This window comes from Homo sapiens, chromosome 16, assembly GCF_000001405.40.
Source record: "Homo sapiens chromosome 16, GRCh38.p14 Primary Assembly".
NCBI lineage: Eukaryota > Metazoa > Chordata > Mammalia > Primates > Hominidae > Homo > Homo sapiens.
The window spans coordinates 2,278,683-2,304,500 of NC_000016.10; the positions used below are offsets into that span (position 1 = coordinate 2,278,683).

The window sequence follows — 25,818 nt, forward strand, 5'->3', positions numbered from 1 at the left end:
AAGACATCTGCCTGCACCTAAAGGGGACCTGCCGACCCTGACATCTCTCACTGCTGGCTTTGTCCCTAGGTGGCAGGCACTGTCAGGGCAGTCCCTTTCCTACGTGGAGCTACCTGGGTCACACCACCACATCCCAGCTCCATCCTGGAGCCACAAGCAGGAGCTCTGGCTGCTGACCTGAGCGGTCACTCCCAGCTCTATGCTATGGGGACCTTGATTCTGACTCCACTCTGGGAAGGGCCAGGGCTCGGGAGGTGCACCTGTACGTCCTGACCAGCTTGTTGGCATGTGGCTCCAGCAGCAGGCCCCGCAGAGTGTTCTCCACGCAGGCCCCGATGTGGCGCTCAGGGATGCCCCGGAGCCGAGCGTACATGACCAGCATCTCCCGGCCTGTCATGTGGTCCAGCAAGGCATCAAACTGCGGGCAGTAGCCGATCCGCTGCCGCACCTGGGGTCGGAGCATAGCCGGGGAGGGAGGCGGGTTGGAGGGAAGCCTCCTTCCTCCAGAGGACCACGGGGACTACCCTTGAGGTGCCCACCACTGCGCCTGTCTGTGGTTCCTGCCAGTGTGTGTACACGGGGGCGCTGGAGCTATGCACAGGCCGTGGTGGCTGCCCACAGTGGAAGCTCTTGGAACAGGGACACAGGAAGGATGTGCCTGGTGCAGGGAGGCTTCCAGAGCTGCTCTCAGAGCCTGGTCCAGGACAGGCAGCCATGGGGTTAGGTGGTGCAAGAATGGCCTTTACGTAGAAGCAGACTCAGAGCTGGCTACCCACTCATTCACACCTGGGACATCTGATGTGCTAGGACTCTTTCTTCTCCCTCTAAGAAGAAAGATTTGTGGGCACCACGTTTGGGGTGAGTACTGCTTGGTCAGATGGTGCAGCAGCTGTTCTCTGCACAAGTGACCACGTCCAGCTGAATTAAGACGTGCCTGCTGCCATCTGCTTAGCTACCTTCAGCAGCTGGTCGGGGGCAGGAGTGCCTGGGTTCTGTGGATTCCAGAGACTGGATTTCTTTTTCTTTACCTTCCTTCTTTGGGGTTCTCAAGCTTCCAGAATTTTTTTTTTTTTTTTTGAGACAGAGTCTTACTCTGTCTCCCTTACACTGGTAGAGCGCAGTGGCATGATCTCGGCTCACTACAACCTCTGCCTCCCAGGCTCAAGTGATTCTCATGCCTCAGGCTCCCGAGTAGCTAGGATTATAGGCACCTGCCACCATGCCCTGCTAATTTTTGTATTTTTCTTTGGTAGAGACAGCATTTTGCCATGTTGGCCAGGCTGGTCTCGAACTCTAGACCTCAAGTGATCTGCCTGCCTTGGCCTTCCAAAGCTGGGATTATAGGCGTGAGCCACGCTCCCAGCCCAGAATCTGTTTTTAATCAGTTTGGGGAAAGTCTTAGCCACTACCTTTTTGGCTACTACCCCCTGCCACTCTCTCTCTCTCTTCCTTCTGGAACTCAGATTACATGTACTGGGGACTTCTCACCCTCTCCTCCATTGCTAGATCACATACGGTTTTCTCTCCCCTGCATAGATTTTCAATTGCATAATTTATTTCTGTAGACACAGTGAGTTTATAATCTTTTATAATCTGGCCTGATGATGCAGATCTAACGCCTATGTGCTTGTCCCCCCATGGGGCCTGTGTCTATTGCTTCCAGCCATGGTACCATCTCCTCTGTTTGTTTGCTGTGCATTGCCTGTAAGCCCTGGAACCCTCTATGGGGGAGTCTGCAGCCTAGGATGAGGCTTTCCTCCCGAGAGGGCCTGCATGTGCTCTGGCCCAGGGCCTCTGCTGTCCAGGCACCCCTGGTGTGAGCTCAGGAGAGGACTCCGCGGCCACTTCTCAGCCCCAGGCCCTGCTTACCATTTCCCCTGCTCTGCTTGGCACACTTGAATTCCCATGCAGGCCCCGGGCAGAGGTGCAGGAGGGCTGCCTCTGGTCCTTCTGCGGGGGAGCTGGTGGGGCTCAGCTCAACATGGGAAAGCTGGGCGGGCCCAGGGCCTTCCATCCCTTCACTCAGCAAGGCCTCTAACCCCACACCTGAGCTGCCTGGACACAGAATGGCCTCTGCACAGAGGTGGCTGTCAGTGCTGAATGCGCCTCTCTGGGCTCACGGATGTTGGCACCCATCTCTCTCCCCTCCCATCACCTGCTAGTTCTGGCGAAGCTTAGCTTTAGCTCATTACCTTGTCTCGCTGTCCAGAGGCATGTGCTGGGCCCATTTCAAGCCACAGATGCAGCAGCTGTTTGGGGACAGCATCCCTCTGTCCCTGCCTCCAGGGTGCCCCCTCCAGCCATGCCTGTCTCACCCCTTCAGAGCCTCCCTGGCTGCACCCACCTTTCCGACATCAGAGCTGATTCTGTGACCCCCGACAAAGGCATCCCCAGAAGTGAGGCTCTCCTCCCCGGTCAGCATTTTGAAAGTCGTGGTCTTCCCGGCTCCATTGAAGCCCAGCAGGCCGAAGCACTCCCCTTTCTGCACCGCGAGGGAGAGCCTGTCCACGGCCAGGAGGGGCACCCGCTGCTCGTACACCTGCAGGCACCCAACAGAAAACACGGAATGCGGAGGCCTGGACGCAAAGCAGAGCAGTCTGAGCCTCAGCGCCGAAAGCTTCCAGGGATGGGGTCGGACCCTGGGGACAGCCAGGTAGTCAGCTGGCAGGAAGGACTCCACCCCAAATTGCAAGGGTACCTTGGAGAGCTCCTTGATAATCAGAGGTGTGTGGAGCAGGGAGTCCGGACTGGGGGCCAGGATGCGGGTCCTCTCGTCCGCTACATCTTGGTCCTCAGGAAGCACAGGCATCCGGGTGTATAATTCTGTCTGATTGACCAGGACAAAGACCGCATGCGTGAACCCAGCCGCAGGGCGGCTTCCGTGGAGAAGGGAGGGGCGGGGGTGGATGTGGGAGGTCTGGTGGGACTAAGGCCTTCAAGGCTTCTCGTCCCAATCTCAGGCCCCACAGGTGCGACTCAGACCTTTTACTAGAAGACACAGTGGTCTTACGGGGCTAAACTAGCATCCAGGAGACATAAACTATCTGAGGAAAAAGAACTGTGCGGGACTCATGGAGAAAAATCATAAATCTGCTGGGGAATATAAAATAAGATTTTTAGACAATTTTTTTTTTTTTTTTGAGACAGAGTCTCACTCTGTTGTCCAGGCTGGAGTGCAGTGGCGCAATCTCAGCTCACTGCAAACTCTGCCTCCCAGGTTCAACTGATTCTCCTGCTTCAGCCTCCCGAGTAGCGCGCCACCACGCCCAGCTAATTTTTGTATTTTTAGTAGAGACGGAGTTTCACTGTGTTGGCCAGGCTGGTCTAGAACTCCTGACCTTTGGTGATCCGTCCACCTTGGCCTCCCAAAGTGTTGGGATTACAGGCATTAGCCACCATGGCTGGCCTGAAAGTAAGATTTTTGTTTTCAGATTTAGAGATGGGGTCTTGCTCTGTCACCCAGGCTGGGATGCAATGGTGTAATCATAGGTCACTGCAGCCCGGACCTCCCAGGCTTAAGCCTCCTGTCTCAGCTTCCCTAGTAGCTAGGATTACAGGTGTGTGCCATCATGCCTAGCTAATTTTTAAAACTGTTTAGAAGAGATAGGGTCTCACTATGTTGCCCAGACTAGTCTTGAACTCCTGGCTTCAGGTGATCCACCTACCTCTGCTTTCTAAAGTGCTGGGATTACAGGTGTGAGCCACCATGCCTGGCCAAAGATTTTAACACGTGGAGACAGTTCCCTTTTTAGAGAAGTCTGACTATTTTAAAGAAGTGAATTCCCCCTCGGCTAAGCTGTATGTGCAATGCAATGTCAACACATTTGCTTTTGTTTGTTTGAGGGAGGGGATGGAGACCTGAGAAAATGAACGTTTTCAATAAACACGTGGAGCACCCCTCAGCCCCACATCCCCTCCTCCGGGCACTGGGTGTCCCTGGGCACCACCTCTGCTCAGCAGGACTGGGCACCCCTCAGCCCCACATCCCCTCCTCCGGGCACTGGGTGTCCCTGGGCACCACCTCTGCTCAGCAGGACTGGGCACCCCTCAGCCCCACATCCCCTCCTCCGGGCACTGGGTGTCCCTGGGCACCACCTCTGCTCAGCAGGACTGGGCAACCCTCAGCCCCACATCCCCTCCTCCGGGCACTGGGTGTCCCTGGGCACCACCTCTGCTCAGCAGGACTGGGCACCCCTCAGCCCCACATCCCCTCCTCCAGGCACTGGGTGTCCCTGGGCACCACCTCTCCTCAGCAGGACGGCCCTGGGCCCCCAGGCTGACTCCTCGGCAGGGGCTCACAACTCGACAGCCCTTGTGAGTGGCGAGGGCTGTGCCCCGCCCTGGCTGTAAGTGCCGGCTGGTGCTGAGGCCGTACAGTGGGAGACCATCTGGTGCAGGAGCTGCCTGGTGGAGAAGGAGGTGGAGCTGCCCCAGGTTGTGCTGGGCCCAAGCAGAGACGTGGGGAGCATCTCGCCAGTGTCCTGGGCTCCCGGAGCCACTCACCAGTGTCCGCCTCCTCCGGAGGGCGCAGAGGATGCCCCTGAGTCTCTGAAGCAGGTTGGTCTCGATGAGGAAGAGCAGGATGAGGTAGGCGCACCCTGAGGCGGCCATGGAGGCCACAAACCGGCCGACCCCCGGGGCGCTCCAGGCATAGAAGTTCTCCTGGTACTGGATGTCTGTGGGGCGAGGGAGTCACTGTGCCCCGAGGCCTGGGGCACCCTCCTCCCCTTCCAGGTTCCCGGCCCCCACTCCCCTCCCCAGGCTGCTCAAGGCGCCTGTAACAATGTCCCCTCCATGGGGAGATGTGAAGGCCAGTAGGTCACAGCTGCCTCTCGAGGCACCACAGCTCAGAGAGGGGCCAGGCACGTAACAATCCAATGCAGTCCCATGAGCGACATGGCAGACCCAGGGCAGCAACAGCCCGCCTGAGAGGCACAGGCTCTGCGTGAATCCTGGGCTGCCTCCTGACCAGGACAGAGACCGTTACAAGCACCGAGGGGTGTGTGGGAGGCTGAGGAGGCCCCACAGGACAGGTCCAAGTTCTGTCCCCCTGGACCTGGGGTTGTGATCTTGCTTAGAAACAGGGTCTTTGAATATGTGATTAGTAAGGATCTTAAGGTGAGACACTGGATTAGTGTGGGCCTTAAACCCAACAGCAAGTGTCCTTATAAGAGAAATGCAGAAGGAGATTTGAGACAGGAGACAGGAGCTGCCATGCGAGGATGGAGGCGGTGGTGGGGAGTAGGTGCAGCCAGGAGCTCAGGATGCCTGGAGCCTCCAGGAGATGGGAGAAGCAGGAAGGGTCCTCCCCTGAGCCATGGGGGATTCACTCCTCGTGCTAAGCGCTGGTCTGTGGTTCCTTGTTACAGATGCCCAGACACTGAGGCAGGTGGGAGAGTGGGAGCTCAGGTACAGGGCCTGGGAGCGAGCGGGCGCGAGGGGGCTGCTGTGGGAGGTGGGGCAAGGCGGTACAGAGGAACGCACCAGCCCCAGGCCACTCAGACGCAGAGGAGCCCCTGCCCTAGGAGGCCCCTCTGCAGTGACCACGTCCTGAGGACGCAGGGGTGCTGCCCGGGGTCGGGGCTGGGACACTCACTATATTTCTTGCAGTAGTGGGCGGCGACCTCGGAGGAGGTGCAGTACCTCCGCGTCTCGTAGTTCTCGTAGAAACTGCTGACTGCCATCCCCAGACAGTGGTTGGGCAGCACCAGGAACACGTGATCCAGGGTTTTGGAAAGTTCTTCCAGTTTTACAGCTGCGTTGGGGAGGTAAGATCAGTCTGCGCTGGAGGGCACACCACACCCACCTCCAGGACGGGCCTGGTCAGGGCGGGCACAGGGCCTTATCCGTGCTGTGTGGAGTGAGGGGGCACCTCCCAGGGACGCCCCTGCCGGCTCTGCACAGGGCAAGGACGCCGCAGACGCCTGCCCACCAGTCATGGCTAGCCGGGCAGGGCCAGCTGGGGCAGAGGGGCTGGTGAGCATGAACTGGGCCCATTGCCTGAGTCCCGCCTCGGCTGTGGCTGGTGCCTCCCTGTCTGGGCGGAGTGGCTCCGTGGATGGCCATGGGGGCTGCGGGTGGTCTCCAGGTGCCCACCTGGGATGCGCATGATGGTGACCATCAGGAAGGTGGCGATGCCTGACAGGATGTTGAAGATGGTCAGCCTCGTGTAGGCAGTGGCCGCCCCCAAGAAGAAGAAGTTCATCAGGTACATGAGGGGGATGATGGCCCAGCCGTAGAGCAGGAGCAGCAGCAGGGTGTCAGCCATGTGGCCGTCCCGCGTGAAGGCACGCACGTCGAAGGCCTTAAACACCACCTGCGGCGGCACAGGGAGGCGCTGCTGTGCATGCCAAGCTGAGAGGAGCTCACGGGTAGGGAAGGGGTGAGAGGAGCATTTGGAGGTCCTCAGACCCCTCCCGGTCAGCTGGCCCATGTCCATCAGCCCCACAGGCCACGTCTGGCCCCCGCGGTGGCTTTCAGCCCCAGGACCCTCTCTGTCCCAGTTTCCCCTCGTCCCCTTGCACCCGGAGCTGTAACCAGGATGGCTGCTCCGGGTGCTGCCCATGCATGGAGGGTAAAGGCTGAGGGTGCAGGGAGGAGGCGAGGGGGCAGCCGCCAGGGGATTCCAGCTGTCCTCCCTGAGTCGGGCCGAGCTGCCGGCCTAGGGGCTGCCCAGCTGGTTCCGGTTCTGCACAGGGGTCCCAGGGCAAGCCCTCTGCGGTCTGCAGGGGAACGGATCCAGCACCCTCCGGCGCTCACCAGCAGCAGCAGACTGGGGATGAGGAAGGAGATGAGGTCCCACAGCAGAGCAGAGAGCCAGAAACTGGCCACGTGGACTCCACTCACAAACTGCACATGCTTGGCCTGCACGGCCCTCTCGCTGACCGCCAGGATGGAGAACGTGCTGGCCAAGAATGCCATGGCGAAGAGCAGGTTGAGGGCAATGTCGAATCCCTTCCGGCCCCTGCGGGGGACAGAGAAGGTCAGGGACGGAGCACAGCACGTCTGGGTGGCAGGAGAGGTCGGGTTCTCGGTTATGACCGCCCAAGGCATGCAGGGCAGCAGCCCAACCACTAAAGGGGCTTATGGGAGAGCACAAGCACCATGGTTCCATACCGGGAACATCTGCCCCCACCGGAGAACGGTTCCTCTGGAATTCCTATGCTGACCATGTGACAATGGCAGCGTCACTCTCCCTCATCACCCCGCTCCCAGCCCTCAGCCCCACGGCTGCCGGCGACCTTGCCCAGGTGTGGAGGTCCCGAGCCCCACCTCCTCCTGGAGTGTGGCAAAGGGAAAGCCTCTCCTGGCCTCTGTGTGTCATTCTAGGATCCTGAGTTGATGGCAAGGAGAGCAGATCGAGGGCTGTTGCTTTTCTGCTCTTGGGGCAGGGATGGAGCCAGAAGCTGGGACGCAGCCATCGCCAGGCCTAGGCCTAGCCTGGAATGTGGGTGGAGACGACACTGCCCTGAGGAGGAGTGGCTATTCTGAAATTAACAGAATTTTTGGCCTCCTCTGGGTGGTTCCAGGAGCTCTGGGGGCTCTGTGGCCGGCATAGGGGGTAGCCCTGCCCACACAATGGCATGGCAGGCTCCCGACGTGCGGCCATCTGAGGAACAGGGACGGCAGTTCTTGCCAAGTCCTGCTCTGCTCACCCTCCATCACCTCAGCTCATGTGCCCAGCAGGTCACACTGCTGGAGAGAGCAGTGTGGAGCGAGGACAGTGGCTGACAGGAGCCAGGTAGATTTAGGAGGAGAAGGCAGGGCTGCCTGCCGAGCCTTCATGGGTCCCCGTGAGGACCGCAGTGCATGGGATGGCCCACAGCTGATCTGCTGTCACAGGGAGTTGGGGCTGTGGATGGTGGAGGAGGATGTGGCAGGGGTTTCCCACCAGACCCAGGGGCTTTGGGAGGGCAGACACAATGCTCTATCTATGGGCCCGTGGCAGTGCCCAGGGCAGTCAGTCCTGGGGGCTCTGGCCAGGGCAGACAGGGACGGGCAGTGCACATACTCGTTAAACTGGTCCTTGGCAGCCTGCAGGGCGCTCCGGGGCTGGGGGAAGTTGGAGACCACAATGGAGGCGTGAGGCCCGCACAGCAGCTTGAACAGAAGGTTGTCCACGACGGCCAGGGCAGTGGCTGGAGAGTGGTACGCCTGGTTGTTGAACAAGGCGTTGACGACCGTGCGCTCTCCCACATCTCTGAAGGACGCTGCCACAAGGCACCGCTCATTAAAGCCGCCCCCCTCCACAGAAGCCCTGAAGATCAAGAACTCCTCCAGGTCACCTGGGGAGCAATGGCAGAGTCAGGGGACACAGGAAGAGGTGACACCTGGGCACCCCCTGCCACCTGAGCATGGCTAATCAGGGACCCAATAGAGTGGTGCCAGCATCCTCTGAGCTGCCCGCCCCATCACCCTTCTCCTAAGGAGAGTATAATTTCTGGCAAGGTTTTGTCATCATTCAGTATGTGGAACTTTGAATGCCAGTCAGGAACCGGGAAAGGAGCTGCAAAATAAGAAAACCTTCCAGTAGGTTCCATTAACCAGAGCACGGTCCCTGTTCTGAGCCTGGGGCAGTATCCAACTATGACTACCAAGACTCTTTCTTTTTTTTTTTGAGACAGTCTTGCTCTGTCACCCAGGCTGGAGTGCAATGGTGCGATCTTGGCTCACTGCAGCCTCCACCGCCCAGGTTCAAGCCATTCTCCTGCCTCAGCCTCCAGAGTAGCTGGGATTACAGGTACCCATCACCACACCTAGCTAATTTTTGTGTTTAGTAGAGACAGAGTTTTGCCATGTTGACCAGGCTGGTCTCGAACTCCTGACCTCAAGTGATCCACCTGCCTCGGCCTCCCAAAGTAGTGGGATGACAGGTGTGAGCTACTGTGCCTGGCCAAGAACTGTGAGTTTTAAGATGTTGAAAGAAAACACCCTGTCACACGAAGGCACACTGTGGCCAGCATCATCACAAAGCAAAGGTAACTTGAAGTCACTATGCTTCTGCATTTTGCCCATGAATGATCCTGAAAGACACAGCTTCAGTAAAAAGACGCCTGACAAAGCCTGGCCCCAGGATGCCAGTGTCTCTGGCACCTCCAGGGCACTTCCCCTGACTCAGTGCCGTGATCTGCCACCCAGGGGACATCCGCAATGTTTCCAGGCATGTTTGATGGTCATGATGGGGTGGGGCAAGGTCAGGGATGCTGCTGAACCTCCCTCAGTACATTCGGAACAGCCAAGAACCATCCTCCCCAGATGTCGACCCTGCTGCAGTCAGGAAGGCGAACTCTGGCTGCAGGACTGGCCCCCGATGCCCCCGTCCCGCCCCCGGGATGCCCCTTACCGAGCACCTCGCGGGGCTCCTGTCCCTCAGCCTGCAGTGCGTCTTTCAGATGCTCTGACAGCTGCTGACCCAGCTGGGAGGTCCCGGGAACTGAGAAGGGCACGACGGTTCTGCCGTACTCGCCCAAGGTCAGCCTCAGCATGGGGTCGTCGAAGAGCTCCGAGGAGTAGTTGATGGCCAGGAGGGCCAGGGTGACGCAGGTCAGAGGCACCAGGACCTGTGCCGCCACCATTTTCCACTCGCGCCAGCTGTATGCGGCCTTCTTCAGGAACATGGCCCAGAATTGCTGGCAGTGCAGGGCGAGCTGCGGCAGAGGGGACGCAGGTGACACCGGCACCGCTTGGGGCCCAGCGCCTGACCCCCACCCACCTGCGGCAGGTGCTGTTCTGTGTGACGCCAGCCTGGGGGCCTGCAGCTGAGGTTGCACCGGAGACTCCCAGAGCGTTGAAACGGCCGTGGGAGGAGCTCAGTGCACCACATGGCAGGGTCACCTGTGCAGACTCTGCAGGTCTCCATGGGGCCCTGCACGTTGGCACTATTTTATTTTTTTGAGACAGGGTCACTCTGTCACTGGGGGTGGAGTGCAGTGGTGTGATCTCAGCTCACTGCAACCTCCACCTCCTGGGTTCCTACCTCAGCCTCCCAAGTAGCTGGGATTACAGGCGCACACCACCACACCCAACTAATTTTTGTATTTTTAGTAGAGATAGGGTTTTGTCATGTTGGCCTAGGCTGGTCTTGAACTCCTGACCTCAAGTGATCTGCCCGCCTTGGCCTCCCAATGTACTGGGATTACAGGCATGAGCCACCACACCCGGCCCAGACACTGTTTCATTGTCTCAGGACAGTAGAGGACCAGCTGCCATCCCCTGCCCTCCCCCTGCCACAAGGAGACACCACCACACAGGTCACAGGAAACAGATGGCCGAGCCTCCCAACCAGCCTGACTGCCTCGTTCTCCAGCTTCTTTCCTTCCTGGTCCTCCGAGACAGAGAGCGTCAGGGCTTTGAGATCAGGCTGACCAGGGATCAGAATGAGCTCTGTGACTCTGTCACATCTGACTTTGGCCCAGGCCTCGGTTTCCCATCTGTGAACCGAGTGCATCAACCAACCTCCGTGTCGTTGGCTGCTAGAGAGCCTCATCAACACAGAGCTGGGCACCCGACAAGCTCCTGTTGAGCAGGGTGCTGTGCCTGAGGTAGAGCATGAGAAATTCCAGTTGCTCCATTCAAACGCTTCTCCCTGCCGACCCATGCGGTGTGAGCCGCTGCCCGCCCTCTGCCCGGTGTGCTGACTCTCCCGGACCCTGTTTGCGCCCTCGCAGACTCTCCTCTGCATGGGCTTACATGAGGCGTTTGGGGGCTGCTCGCCCTTCCCCCGCCACCCGCCCACCCACCTGGGCACTCACCCCAGTGTTGAGCTTGACAGCGGTGCGCTCCTCCTCGATGAGGGCTCCAATGCCGTCGGAGGGGTCCATGGCCCCACAGAGGTTGCTGTCCACAGCCCAGTCGCTGGCGCGCCTCTCGTGCTGGTACTGCAGGGCAGGGAGCTGGATGGCCTGGATGTCCATACTGCTGTCCACCAGCTTCCCGACCCTGTGCCGATACACACAGGGACCGGTCAGGACCCAGCTCCCCGGGTGGGTGGAGGGAGGGACTATGGTTAGAGGCACTGAGGGGAGCAGTGTTGCCGCAGTCCTTGGCTTGCTCATGCATCTGCTTATGTGTTTCCTCACTCATCAGTGTCTCCGGCCACCATGCACAGCTAATTTTTGTATTTTTAGTAGACATAGGGTTTCACCATGTTGGCCAGGCTGATCTGGAACTCCTGACCTCAAGTGATCCACCCACCTTGGCCTCTCAAAGTGCTGGGATTACAGGCATGAACCACCAAGGCTGGCAGAGGAGGTGATTTTTTAATATTATGTGAATTACATCACACACACACACACACACACACACACACACACACACACACCCCTTCCTAGAGCTCCCCGCCGATTAGGAAACACAACTGAGGCTGCAGCAGGCAGGAGGCACCCCCCGGCTGGCTTAGCAACATTGTCAGGCCACACTTGGAGCCCGTGTGAGCCCTGTCTGCCTGCTTCTTGCTCCTGTGTGCAGGCTGCCGTGAGGCCTAAGTACCTGCTCCTCTGGCCCTTGGCAGAGCCCTTCTCCCTCACTGGATTCTCCCAGTCCCACTCATCTTTCATGATCTGCTCAGAGACACCAAGTGTTGCCATCTCGTCAGTATTCCCTCTGATTAAAAGCCTTCCTGCCCATGGTCTGAGCTCCGGTGGGCGCTTACCAGCCTGGCTAGCTCTCCCCAGGTCCTAGACAAACCAGGAAAAGCTTCTGATTATTTTTCTCTTGAGACCAGGAGCTCAGAGAGGCCAGGGTCAGGTGTGGGGCCTGGAGCTGAGTCACAGGTGGGCCGTGTGGTGAGTATGAGATGGGGCCAGAGAGGCCTGAGACCTTGAGAGACAAGAGGCCCTGTGGCTGCTGAGACGCAGCAGGATCAACCCGGGTTCTACCCTCAGAGCCGGCTGACTCCAGGCCAGCCCGTGGTTTCTTTCTGTTATGTTCATGCTTCCTTCCTTCCTTCAACCAGGATTCACAGAATCAGTCAGTCAGTGCTCGGTCCTGTGTGGGACACAGGTCAGCGGGCAGTCCCTCCCTCCCTCCGCCGCCTTGCCTGGCCTTTTTCCCTGGGTCTGTTCCTGGACACATGGTCCCCTGCACAGGTGTCCCCAGAGCATGCACCACCATGTCCTGCATGTATGATCACCTATTCTGTCGCCTCCTCTAGGCTGTGGGCTCCCTAAGGAGGAAAACCTATCTCACGTTTTTTTCTTTTTCTTTTGACACAGGGTTTTGCTCTGTCCCCCAGGGTGGAGTGCAGTGGCACAATCTCAGCTCACTGCAACCTCCACTTCCCAGGTTCAATTGATTCTCCTGCCTCAGCCTCCCAAGTAGCTGAGATTACAGGTGTGTGCCACCATGCCCGGCTAATTTTTGTAGTTTTAGTAGAGATGGTGGCTGGGGGTGGTGGCTCACGCCTGTAATCCCAGCACAGATCTTCAGGTGGGTCACCTGAGGTCAGGAGTTCCAGACCAGCATGGCAAAACCCCATCTCTGTTAAAAATACAAAAAAACTAGCTGGGCGTAATGACGTGCGCCTGCAGTCCCAGCTACTGAGGCTGAGGCAGGAGAATCGCTTGAATCTGGGAGGCAGAGGTTGCAGTGAGCTGAGATTGCACCACTGCACTCCAGCCTGGGAGACAGAGTGAGACTCTGTCTCAAAAAAAAAGAGATGGGATTTCACCATGTTGACCAGGCTAGTCTCAAACTCCTTGGCTCAAGTGATCGCCTGCCTCGGCCTCCCAAAGTGCTGGGATGACAGGCGTGAGCCACCACGCCCAGCCCCCATGCAGTTCTGAGGGTCTGGATGAGATAGTTCCCATCTTCATTAACGACACAGGTATCTCCCAAGGACGATCTAAGCCCAAGAAGAGCTGGGCACGCCTCTGACGCCGTGTGCCAGCTAGACCCGTGGCGGGTCTAGGAGGGACCCCAAGGCAGTGCAGGCCCCTCACGTGTGCCGCCGTTTCCCACGCACACCAATGTTGCTGACAGTCACAATCTGCACTTGGGGCTCTGACGGCGGCCACTGCCCGCCCCACCCCAGGCTGTTCCTCCAGCCTCACGTGGGCATTTGAGATCATAACCGAGGTGACTGTTTATCACTGCACTTTTTAGAAGTCCTCGGCTGAGCACGGTGCCTCACGCCTGTAATACCAGCACTTTGGGAGGCCAAGGTGGGCGGATCACCTGAGGTCAGGAGTTTGAGACCAGCCTGACCAACATGGAGAAAACCCATCTCTACTAAAAATACAAAATTAGCTGGGTGTGGTGGCACATGCCTGTAATCCCAGCTACTCGGGAGGCTGAGGCAGGAGAATCTCTTGAACCCAGGAGGCGGAGGTTGCGGTGAGCCGAGATCGCACCACTGCACTCCAGCCTGGGCAACTAGAGTGAAACTCCATCTCAAAAAAAAAAAGTCCTCTGCAGCACGGAGCCCAGTCCTAGGTGGACGGAAATGCGCATTTACTGACCGAAGGAAGACTTCCTCCATGGTGGTGATGGATGCCCCAAAGCTGGCAATGCCCAGCTCTTTCTGCTTCTTCTCCAGTTTAGCAAAGAGACCTTCAAACCTGAAAAACAGACCCAGCATTATGAGTCACTTCTCAGTGACTTTCTAGATAATTTGTTCCTAAAGCATCACCCCCCCTCGGCCAGGCACAGTGCCTCACACCTGTAACCCCAGCACTTTGGGACGCCAAGGCGGGCGGATCACCTGAGATCAGGAGTTCGATACCAGTCTAGTCAACATGGTGAAACCTGTCGCTATTAAAAACATAAAAAATTAGCCACGTGTGGTAGCAGGTGCCTGTAGTCCCAGCTACTCAGAAGGCAGAGGCAGGAGAACACTTGAACCCAGGAGGTGGAGGCTGCAGTGAACCGAGATTGCGCTACTGCACTCCAGCCTGGGTGGCAGAGTGAAACTCTGTCTCAAAAAAATAAATAAATAAATAAAATTAAAAAAATAAGGAGGCCAGGTGCAGTATCTCACACCTGTAATCCTAGCACTTTGGGAGGCCGAGGTGGGCGAATTGCCTGAACTCAGGAGTTCGAGACCAGCCTGAGCAACACGGTGAAACTCTGTCTCTACTAAAATAAATAAAACAAAACAAAACAACAAACAACAACAACAACAAAAACTACCCAGTCATGGCGGCTTGTGCCTGTAATCCCAGCTACTCGGGAGGCTGAGGCAGGAGAATTGCTTGAACCCGGGAGGCGGAGGTTGCGGTGAGCTGAGATCGCACCACTGGACTCCAGCCCGGGCAACAGAGCAAGACTCCGTCTCCAAAAACTAAACTAAACTAAACTAAAATGAATCACCCCCCTAATCCCCCTATAGAATGGGGCAGGGGCCACAGGAGGTTAATTCCTTGAAATACCTTTTTTTTTCTTTTTTTCTTTAGATGGAGTTTTGCTCTGTCACCCAGGCTGCAGTGCAGTGGCACAGTCTCGGCTCACTGCAAGCTCCGCCTCCCAGGTTCATGGCATTCTCCTGCCTCAACCTCCAGAGTAGCTGGGACTATAGGCGCCCGCCACCACACCCAGCTAATTTTTTGTATTTTTAGTAGAGATGGGGTTTCACCGTGTTAGCCAGGATGGTCTTGATCTCCTGACCCTGTGATCCACCTGCCCTGACCTCCCAAAGTGCTGGGATTACAGGCAATGAGCTACCAAGCTACCGTGCCTGGCCAAAATGCCTTTTTTTTTTTTTTTTTTTTTGGAGACAGGGTCTTGGTCTGTCACTCAGGCTGGAGTGCAGTGGTATAATCTCGGCTCACTGAAGCCTTGACCTCCCGGGCTCAAGCAATCCTCTCACCTCAGCCTCCCAAGTGTCTGGGGCTACAGGTGTGCACAACTACACGTGGCTAAGTTTTTTTTTTTTTTTTGAGACTGAGTCTTGCTCTGTCACCCAGGCTGGAGTGCGGTGGCGCGATCTTGGCTCACTGCAAGATCTGCCTCCCGGCTTCATGCCATTCTCTTGCCTCAGCCTCCCGAGTAGCTGGGACTACAGGTGCCCGCCACCACGCCCGGCTAATTTTGTTTTTGTATTTTTAGTAGAGATGGGGTTTCACCATGTTAGCCAGGATGGTCTCGATCTCCTGACCTCGTGATCCACCCGCTTCGGCCTCCAAGTGCTGGGATTACAGGTGTGAGCCACCGTGCCTGGCCATGTGGCTAATTTTTAATTTTTTTGTAGAGATGGGGTCTCACTATGTCGCCCAAGCTGATCTCCTTCTCCTTCTGCCTTGGCTTCTGAAAGTGTTGGGATTACAGGCATGAGCAACCATGCCTGGCTAAAAGTGAGGTTCATATGGTTTGATTCCCTGGTTTTTTCTTTCTTTTTTTTTTTTTGAGATGGAGTCTCCCTCTGTCACCCAGGCTGGAATCCAGGGGTGCAGGGGTGCAGGGGTGTGATTTCGGCTCACTGCAACCTCTGCTCCTGGGTTCAGTGATTCTCCTGCCTCAGCCTCCTGAGTAGCTGGGATTACAGGCACCCACCACCACGCCCGGCTAATTTTTGTATTTTTTTTTTTTTTTAGTAGAGACGAGGTTTCACCGTGTTGGCCAGGATGGTCTCGATCTCCTGACCTCATGGTCCGCCCGCCTTGGCCTCCCAAAGTGCTGGGATTACAGGCGTGCGCCACTATGCACAGCTGCGAAACACTTTCTAAGAATAAAATTAATAGAAGAAGTCACAAGAGAAAGGATGTTGCTACATTAAGTACAAAATCTAGGCCGGGTGCAGTGGCTCACACCTGGAATCCCAGAACTTTGGGAGGCTGAGGCGGAAGGATCACTTAAGCCCAGGAGTTCAAGACCAGCTTGGGCAACATAACAAGACCCCATCTCTACAAAAAAAATAAAAAAACTAGCCGGACATGTTGATACACACCTGTAGTCCCAACTATTCGGGAGGCTGAGGTGGGAGATCACGAGCCCAGGAATTCAAGGCTGCAGTGAGTTGTGATTGCACCACTGCACTCCAGCCTGGGTGACAGAGCAAGACCTTGTTTTTAAAATAAACAAATGTGGCCAGGCATGGTGGCTCATGCCTGACATCTTAGCACTTTGGGAGGCCGAGGTGGGTGGATCACCTGAGGTCAGGAGTTTGAGACCAGCCTGGACAACATGGTAAAACCCCATCTCTACTAAAAATACAAAAATTAGCCGGGTGTGGTGGTGCACGCCTGTAATCCCAGCTACTTGGGAGGCTGAGGCAGGAGAATTGCTTGAACCTGGGAGGCAGAGGTTGCAGTGAGCTGAGATTGTGCCACTGCACTCTGGACTGGGCAGCAGAGTGAGGCTCCATCTCAAAACAAATAATAAATAAATAACAAATAAAATAAATAAATGTAAAATGGAAAAAAATCTGACAAAATCAAACAACAAACTGGAGAAAAGTGCAATAAACTGATATTATCCAGATAATATCCAGACTGATAGATAGTGTCATGGAACACTGGCTTCCCTCCCCTTGCTGGTTCTGCCGTGTGTGTGAGACAGTGATGAGCAGGTGGTAACATCTCCAGCTCTGACACTGAGACCAAATTCACCACCCACATACAAATACAGACTCGGTTTCACGAGTAGTTCTGAGTGCAGCCGCAGCACGTGTTGAGCCTGGTGTCAGAAGGGGGAGTGTGAGCCCTGCATCAGCGCTGAGCACCCTTTTGGTGAGTCAGATACGTGCTTCTCCTTTTCAGGTCCTAATTATGTTTCTCCTTGCTAGGAGGCCTGGCACCTAGGACCCAGCCAAGCAGATTCATCTGGGCTGATGGTGCCCAGGCTGAGGGTCTAAGAGTGCCGACTGGCCAGGCCAGAGAGGGGCAGAGCAGGTGCCTCTGAGCACAAAGCCCTCATGGCCCATGGGGATCCCATCTTGGATGTATACCTGTGCGTGCCCTCCCTGGGAGGCGTACCTGTGCGTGCTCTCTCTGGGAAGGATGAAAGACAGCTCGGCCCCAGCGCTGCTCTCCAGCGTGGCGTTGGGCACGTGGTGGTGGACCAGCTGGGAGATGTCTTCCGGGTTGCAGTGCGGCTCCTTCACCAGCGTCATGTGATAGCCGGCACCTGGAATACAGGGCCACGTGTGAGATCTTTGGCTGATCCCCCAGGTCTCTTCATGCCCACCCCGGGGTCTCTAGGGCTCACACCAGGCAAGCTGGTGGGAAGGAGGCTAGAGAACCGGAGGTGGGCAGCTGAAGCAGAATGAATGTGTCTTGGAGCTCCCTGTGCTGTCCCAAGGGTGTCACCTCCCGCTCCTGCTGGGAAGAGCTGCTGGGGATCTAGGGTGCTGAGCACTGTCAGGGGCACCTGCTGGAAGGTGGGGTCTCCCCCCAGCTATACAAGCACCAGGGAAGGATATCATCAGCAGCGACGGACCACGTGTGAGGGCTTCTGTCTTGTGGGGTTAACACTGATGGTTATGGTGTGGTTCTAGGAAGGGACTGTCAGCAGGAGCAGGAGCAAGAGCTACCGGCTGCAAGACCGCACTGCACGGCACTATCAGAGATGCATCTCACCTCTTTCCCAACGTCACCGTGCAGGAGATGGAATTCCATGTCCTTTTTTTTTTTTTTGAGACAAGTCTCACTCTGTCACCCAGGCTGGAGTGCAGCTGCACAATCTTGGCTCACTGTAACTTCTCCCTCCTTGGTTCAAGTACTTATTCTCCTGCCTCAGCCTCCCCAAGTAGCTGGGATTACAGGCATGCACCACCATACCTGGTTAAGTTTTTGTATTTTAGTAGAGACAGAGTTTTACCATGTTGGCCAGGCTGGTCTTGAACTCCTGACCTCAAGTGATCTGCCTGCCTTGGCCTCCCAAAGTGCTGGGATTATAGGCGGTGAGCCACCACGCCTGGCCCCATGTCCTCTTTAGAGACAAGGATGCCAGGCCCAGGAAGAACAATGGCTCTGCCAACTGGGCAGTGGGGCAGGAAGTGGCTAGTGAAACTCTCAGAGGCCGTGGTGGATGGTTCCTCATCTCCTAACGCCTGCTGTCCTCCCTCTTGGTAACAAAACCCTGGTATCTTGGCTGAGCATGTGGCTGCCCAGGACAAAGGCCATCCCCTCCAGCCTACTGCTGACCACACTGGGTTGCCACTCAGTCACTAGGGGGCAGAAGTGGGACGTGAACTTGGGGGGTGTCCTGAGGGGAGGAGGGCTCCTATGTCTTTGCTCCACCCCGTTGGAATGTGGGGGACGCTGGCACACCCAGATCGTGCTGGACCAGGAGGTGACCTTGAAAGGGAAGCCGTAGTTGCACAGTACAGTCAGAGGTCTGGGCCCAGATCCTGTCAGCCCCTGCTGGCCCTGGCCATGCTGTGAGCTGCTCTCACGTGGGAGCTGCCATGTTGGTGCGTGTGTTGGCCTCTCCAAGGGCAGTGCTGCTCCTAGTGGCACTAGGCTTGGCCTCTGTTCTTCTGGTCATGGCTGAACCACATCCTAACCAAATTGAGACTTTCAGCTCCATTTCCTGCCTCTTCCCTCTCACAAGCCCCCCTGCCTGGTTGGGCTCTCCACCCAGAGGCAACAGACAGGAAGTCTAGAAAAGGCCACCCCTGCCTGATCTGAGGGCCCTTCATGAAGGTAGCAGCCATTCCCTCAGCACGGCAGCCAGGACACCGACCCTGTCGCGGGCTGGCCCCACCGCTCACCGTATTTCTGCTTGAGGAACAGCGAGGACCCGCAGCACTGCAGCTCCCCCTTGGCCATGATGGCGATGCGGTCTCCCAGCAGGTCAGCCTCGTCCATGAAGTGGGTGGTCAGCACGATGGTGCGGTCACTTTTCTGCCGCTGAAGAAGATCCCAGATGGCCCTCCTGGAGATGGCGTCCATGCCCGAGGTGGGCTCGTCCAGTATCAGCACCTGGAGGGAGAGACACAGTCTCGCGACGCTGGTAGAGCCACACCCCGGGCCCAGGCTGGCCTTGCGGTAGGCCCCATCGAGGGGTTCGCGGAGCCGGCTTGAGTCCTCCAAGGATGGTGATGGCCTTGTCTGGGGTGTCAAGGGCCAAGGTGCCCGGGCCATGGCGGAAGGGCCATCCCAGGTCGAGCAGGAGGGGAACCCACTGCCTCCAGTCCCACCGCCACACCTTGGAGCCTGCGATGAGGGCGATGCCGATGGAGAGCTTGCGCCTCATGCCCCCGCTCAGGAAGCGGCTCCGTGAGTTCCACTTGTCCTCCAGGCCGATGATGTGCAGCATCTGCTTGACTTCTTCAGGGCACTTCTGACGTGACAGGCCCTTCAGCTGCAACGACAGGGGACGCAGGGAGATGCAGGGCTCCTGGCGGGAGGCCGACCCTGGCCAGCGAGGTTCTGGTGAGAGGAACCTCTCCTTGACGTAGCTGGGGAGATGCAGGGCTCCTGGCGGGAGGCCGACCACGGCCAGCAAGGTTCTGGTGAGAGGAACCTCTCCTTGACGTAGCTGGGGAGATGCAGGGCTCCTGGCGGGAGGCCGACCACGGCCAGCGAGTTTCTGGTAAGAGGAACCTCTCCTTGACGTAGCTGGGGAGATGCAGGGCTCCTGGCGGGAGGCCGACCCTGGCCAGCGAGGTTCTGGTGAGAGGAACCTCTCCTTGACGTAGCTGGACTCAGAACCCTGGCTCCTGCCCTCCTGGCTCCCTTCCTCCAGTTTAGCTCCTCGGAAGACTGCCCCAGAAACTCGAGCACATCAGTGGAAACACCCCTGCACACCCCTGGCCCCCAACTCACCTGGGCGTAGAAATAAAGGTGCTCTGCGACTGTCAAGTTGTCAAACAGGATGTCGTGCTGCGGGCACAGGCCCAGGCTCTTCCGGATCTGAACCATGTCCTGGGAAATTTCATACCCGCTGATGTATGCCCGTCCACTGGTGGGGGGAAAGAGACCTGGGGCCCAGCAGGAGACCCCACATTCAGCATGAAGATCCTGCTCGTCAGCACCCGCGGTAATGACCCCCCACCCCCTCTCTGTCTCCCCTAATTTCCTCTGAGGACCCTGCCCATGAGAGGGCACGGAACCCCACTCCCACTGGGGTGGGCTTTGGCTGGGCCAGTGGGAAAAAGAAGCGGCATGGAAACAGCCCTGCCACTGGGACGCACAGCTGGTCAGGGAGGAGAAACCCACGACACACACACACAGAGTCACCACAATCAGCCCCCGCCCCGGGTCCCAGCCTGTGCCACTGCCAGACACTTTGGTGCTTGGGGAAGACAGAGTGAAATGCCAGTGGCCGGTGTGGTGCACAGGGGAGAGCTCTCAGAGAGGGGTTTGGTGACAGAATTAGCATGGGGTTGAGCTGCTCCTGCGTGGTGGCCTCTGTTTTCACTGACCCTGTCAAGCTTGGGTATTCACAGACAGAGGCGGTGAGGAGGGCAGGGGTCCCTGGGGGTCCCCCTGCATTCATGGACAGAGGCGGTGAGGAGGGCAGGGGTCCCTGGGGGTCCCCCTGCATTCACGGACAGAGGCGGTGAGGAGGGCAGGGGTCCCTGGGGGTCCCCCTGCATTCACGGACAGAGGCGGTGAGGAGGGCAGGGGTCCCTGGGGGTCCCCCGGCATGTCCCGGACAGAGGCGGTGAGGAGGGCAGTCCCTGCTTGTGCCCCTGGGCCTGCAGGGCTGAGGTGCATCTCCTGCCGCTGTGGTTGGGGAAGGCCCGAAAGCCCCATTGAGGGAGTGAGGCGGGGCTGGCGCTGAGATGGTGTTAAAGGGGGGCCTGCTGGTGGCAGGGGCGTGAGGCGCCTGGCCCTCACCTGTGAGCATGGAGAGGGTGGTGGTCTTCCCGGCACCGTTGTGGCCCAGCAGGACGGTGATCTGTCCCTCGTACAGGTTGAGGTTCAGGTCTCTGACGGCCGCCCTGTCCTTATTTCCCACCCTGAACACCTGCAGGAAAGGCAGAGGCTGCCCTGGGCTACCCACAGCCCCGAGGCCCACGGCCAAGGCCTCTCCTGCTCCCCTGCCCGACCGTCTCAGAAGGAACCAAGCCTAGCGTCACCATCAGTGTGCAGAGGGGAGGGACGTTTCGGGCAGATGCTGCTCCTGGCTGCTCCCCTCCGGTCTCCCCCAGCCCCAACACGTCCCAGACACCCTCAGTGTCTCTGCAACCCTGGGAGGCCCATGAGGCCGAGGCACTGCTGGACGGCTGAGTCTGGCATTTCCTGAGAAGCTGGAGATGTGGTCTGTGCCCTGGGGAACCGGTTAGAGGGCAGCGGAGGGTTCCTGCCCTCCTTCAGGGCAGGAGGGAGCAAGGCTCAGAGGGAGCGCCTGACGGGCTATGAGGTCTCACTGCCGTGCTGGTAAGTCTTCCCATGGTCCTGGCAGCCCCGGCCCTCCCTGTCCCCACAGGAGGCGGCACCTTGGACAGGTGCTTGATCTTGATCCCCGCCACCAGGTCCTCTGGCTCGGCTTCAAAGTACTCGTTTCTGAGTGCTTTCTCGGGGTCACTGTCTTCTTCCTCCTTCCCTGCAACCGCCCTTGGCTTCCCACACCAATAGGAGGGCTGGGAGGGAAGCAGACAGCTGTCAGTTTGTTTTGTTTGTGACGAGCAAAGCAACAACCAGCAGACACACTAGATGCACACAGCCATGCAGCCTCTGTCCCAGGACTTCGAGGCACTGCTGTGGAGAAGGCGCTACTCAGGGAGAGCCCCAGAGAGTCCCAACTTGTTTCATCCCTGTGAAGGCTCTAAGCCTCAGTTTCCTAACCTGGTAAGTGGGTGTAATGGTTACATACAGGCTTGTGAAGATGAACTCAGATCCGATACAGGGCAAAGGGAGTTTGTCAGCTATGAAATTTCATAGACAGAAGTTATCTAACGCTCCAGTCCAGAGGGATGTTGGAGCCAAAATGGAAAGAAAGCTGTGTCCCCATGCCACCCGGCTGTTTCTTTGCTCAAGCCCCACATGAGTTCATGACTGTAAGCAAGAGAAGCCGAAGGCGCCACGCCTCCCTCTACTATGAGGAAGCCTCTTCCCATCTTCTCTGTGGCCATCACAGAAATAACTCAGTGCATGGGGTAAGAACACAGGCACACACCTCACACAGTGCCCTCGAGGACAGCCTGGTGCCTACATGGAGGCAGTCGACACAGTGGTGCGGGCAGAGCAGCAGGGAAGGTGGAAGCAGTGCCTTGGCAGGATCAGTGCCAGGGCAGCTGCGGGGCGGGGACTCGTTTACCCGCAGCTCCACGCCCAGTGCACTTCCAGCACCTGGAACGGCATCTGGCACACACTGCACTCCACTGGTTCTCAGGGACACAGCTCTCATATGTAAAGTGATTTTAAAATCAGAATGCATCTTGGCTGGGCACGGTGGCTCGAGCCTGTAATCCCAGCACTTTGGGAGGCCGAGGCGGGCGGATCATGAGGTCAGGAGATCGAGACCATCCTGGCTAACACGGTGAAACCCCGTCTCTACTAAAAATACAAAAAAATTAGCCGGGCGTGGTGGTGGGCGCCTATAGTCCCAGCTACTCGGGAGGCTGAGGCAGGAGAATGGCGTGAACCCGGGAGGCGGAGCTTGCAGTGAGCCGAGATGGCACCACTGTACTCCAGCCTGGGCGACAGAGCGAGACTCCGTCTCAAAAAAAAAAAAAAAATCAGAATGCATCTTAAACTATAAAATGCCATAGTGTAAGTGTGGCATTTTTCTTTCTTAGTGATAGACAAAGTAACCATTACCTCTAACGGTCAGTGTCATCTTACAGTTGATGGATTACAGTAGTGAACACTTGATAACTACTTGTGGAAGCAAAGAATGAAAACAGAAATGGCCTCGGCTGGAGGTGGTGGCTCACGCCTGTCATCCCAGCACTTTGGGAGGCCGAGGCGGGTGGATCACCTGAGGTCAGGAGTTCAAGACCAGCCTGGCCAACATGGCGAAACCCCGTCTCTAATAAAAATACAAAAAAAATTAGGTGCGTGTAGTGGTGGGTGCCTGTAATCCCAGCTACTCAGGAGGCTGAGGCAGGAGAATCACTTGAACCTGGGAGGTGAAGGGTGCAGTGAGCTGAGATCGCGCCACTGGACTCCAGCCTGGGCAACAGAGCTAGACTCCGAATCAAAGAAAAAAAAAAAAAAAGAAATGACCTTAACTAGCCATCGGTAGGGAATCAGTTAAGTATATGTTGATGGGCCCACAGAATGGAACACTGTGTGTCACTATAAATGAAGGTGGTTTGTTGGGAGCAAGCCCCCCAAAGTCTGGCCATAAACTGGCCCCAAAACTGGCCATAAATAAAATCTCTGCAGCAATGTAACACGTCCATAATGGCCATAACACCCAAGCTGGAAGGTTGTGGGCAAGGAACACCTGGCCCGCCCAGGGCGGAAAACCGCTTAAAGGCATTCTTAAGCCGCAAACAAAAGCCTGAGAGATCTGTGTCTTAAGGGCGTGTTCCTGCTGCAAGTAATTCGGCCCATCCATCCATTTCCCTTAAGGGATACTTTTAGTTAATGGAATATCTATAGAAACAATGCTAATGACTGGTTTGCTGTTAATAAATATGTGGGTAAATCTCTGTTCGGGGCTCTCAGCTCTGAAGGCTGTGAGACCCCTGATTTCCCACTTCGCACCTCTATATTTCTGCGTGTGTGTCTTTAATTCCTCTAGTGCCGCTGGGTTAAGGTCTCCCCGACCGAGCTGGTCTCGGCAGTGATTCTTAAAAAGGTAATACTTAGGTAGAAATATATTTATAAATATAACAACATTCATCAATATGTTTAGATAATAGTTTAAAACTATATTTATAAATAGACAAACATATATATGTATTTAAGATATCTGAGTTGTACTGTTAGGTTAAGAAAAGCAACTTGTAAGCATTTTTTACAATATGATTCTTTTTTTTTTTTTTGAGACAGGGTCTCATTTTTTCACCAAAGTTGGAGTGTGGTGGTGTGAACATGGCTCACTGCAGCCTCCTGGGCTCAAGTGATTCTTCTGCCTCAGCCTCTCAAGTAGCTGGGACCACAGGCATGTGCCGCCTGGCTAATTTTTTAAATTTTTTATTTATTTTGTAGAGATGGGGTTGCACTATGTTGCCCAGGCTGGTCTCTAACTCCTGGCCTCAAGTCATCCTTCCACCTCAGCCTCCCAAAGTGCTGGGATTACAGGGATGAGCGACTATGTCCACCCCGATCCCATTTTTTTTTTTTTTGAGATGGAGTCTCGCTCTGTCGCCCAGGTTGGAGTGCAATGGCACAGTCTCAGCTCACTGCAACCTCCGCCTTCCGGGTTCAAGCAGTTCTCCCTGCCTCAGCCTCCCAAGTAGCTGGGATTAGAGGCGCCTGCCACCACACCCAGCTAATTTTTTTTTTTTGTATTTCTTTAGTAGAAACAGGGTTTCACCATGCTGGCCAGGCTGGTCTCAAACTTCTGACCTCAGGTGATCCACCCATCTTGGCCTCCCAAAGTGCTGGGATTACAGGGGTGAGCCACCACACCCGGCCTCCAATCACATTTTTATGAAACTATGCTATATGTCCATCCATCTGTGCTCTATGACAGTAAGTGTAGAGAGGGAAACCCAGCAAAGTACATACCAAATGTCAACAGTGTTCATCTCACCAGTGGGAATGAGCTATAGATTTCAGGAATCCGAACTTTTTTTCTCTCTTTTTTTTTTTTTTTTGAGACAGACTCTCGCTGTGTTGCCAGGCTGGAGTGCAATGGCGCGATCTTGGCTCACTGCAAGCTCCGCCTCCCAGGTTCATGCCATTCTCCTGCCTCAGCCTCCCGAGTAGCTGGGACTACAGGCACCCGCCATCACACCCGGCTAGTTTTTTTTTTATTTTTTATTTTTAGTGGAGATGGGATTTCACCTTGTTAGCCAGGATGGTCTTGATCTCCTGACCTCGTGATCCACCCACCTTGGCCTCCCAAAGAGCTGGGATTACAGGCGTGAGCCACCACGCCTGGCCGAATGTGAACATTTTTATAAGAAGCTAGATTTTGTAGGTAGAAAACCCAATAAGATACTTTTCACAAGAAAGGAGGCAGGATTGAGGAGGGAGGTGGGCAGCAGAGGCTGCGTGCGTGGGTCTTGCAGAGAGGGGCCAGAGCAGCCGGTTCTCTGCACCCCTCTGTCTCAGGCTCTGAAGCGGAAGGATTACTCTTGGGCATGGAGGGTCTTTCTCTCTCTGAACCAGTCCCAAGGGCCCTCGGGGGACACGCCACTCCCTGTGCACAGGGCAGGGTTCTGTGTGCCAGCCCCACGCAGGTGCTGCATGCTGGGGACTCAGAGGGGTCCCTGAGCAGGTACTGGGGACACCTCTGCACTCAGAGAGGCGGCGGCTCAAGAGCAGGGCATCAGAACTCACCATGATGAAGAAGTACCAGGGCTGAGGCACGCCGAACTGCCCTGGGAAGACGGCCTCCATGTACCAGGTCACCAGGCCATAGAGCACAGAGTCCAGCAGCAGCATCCCCAGCACCTGCCCGAAGCAGAAGTCGTCGTCCACGTTGACGGGACTCAGGAGGTCTCGCCACTGGATGCCCATGCCTGGAAGACACATCAGGAAAGTGGCCCGAAAGCCAGCAGGCTGGGGGGCCCAGGGACCCGAAGCCCCTGATGGCACACGTGTGCACATTTGACCTTGCATGGCCACTGCTTGGTTGGCATGCCTTTTCCCTTCCCGGTTTTATAACAAGTTGGACAGCTTTCTTCAAGCCTGGAAGATAAACTCAGGTTACAAAATAATTAAGTCACAGACCAGCAACAGCTCATTCACTGACTAGACAGGCTTGCATTTAATCTGTGACATATATGCACATATGTACACACGTACATATGCACCCACATCTATGATTTCGGTAAGGCCAACGTGGGTCAATGTGCATTTAGCATAAGTC

The 25,818-nt window shown here is 56.4% G+C and overlaps 1 protein-coding gene across 1 annotated transcript in view; it reads right to left on the reverse strand.

The window, feature by feature from the left end:
* The window catches only part of ABCA3 (ATP binding cassette subfamily A member 3), a 64,848-nt gene that overhangs the window by 2,802 nt on the left and 36,228 nt on the right, over positions 1–25,818 (reverse strand). Inside the window, exons 12-29 of the mRNA NM_001089.3 lie at positions 25,287–25,468; positions 21,323–21,466; positions 20,721–20,850; positions 19,704–19,858; positions 19,084–19,239; positions 18,647–18,857; positions 16,908–17,058; positions 13,458–13,556; positions 10,752–10,938; positions 9,344–9,647; positions 8,012–8,285; positions 6,760–6,964; positions 6,097–6,316; positions 5,597–5,755; positions 4,504–4,676; positions 2,699–2,827; positions 2,345–2,539; positions 261–448 (exon numbers count right to left, since the gene is read on the reverse strand). Coding sequence (NP_001080.2) covers positions 261–448; positions 2,345–2,539; positions 2,699–2,827; positions 4,504–4,676; positions 5,597–5,755; positions 6,097–6,316; positions 6,760–6,964; positions 8,012–8,285; positions 9,344–9,647; positions 10,752–10,938; positions 13,458–13,556; positions 16,908–17,058; positions 18,647–18,857; positions 19,084–19,239; positions 19,704–19,858; positions 20,721–20,850; positions 21,323–21,466; positions 25,287–25,468 — 3,262 coding nt within the window. The remainder of the gene's footprint in view (positions 1–260; positions 449–2,344; positions 2,540–2,698; positions 2,828–4,503; positions 4,677–5,596; positions 5,756–6,096; positions 6,317–6,759; positions 6,965–8,011; positions 8,286–9,343; positions 9,648–10,751; positions 10,939–13,457; positions 13,557–16,907; positions 17,059–18,646; positions 18,858–19,083; positions 19,240–19,703; positions 19,859–20,720; positions 20,851–21,322; positions 21,467–25,286; positions 25,469–25,818) is intronic.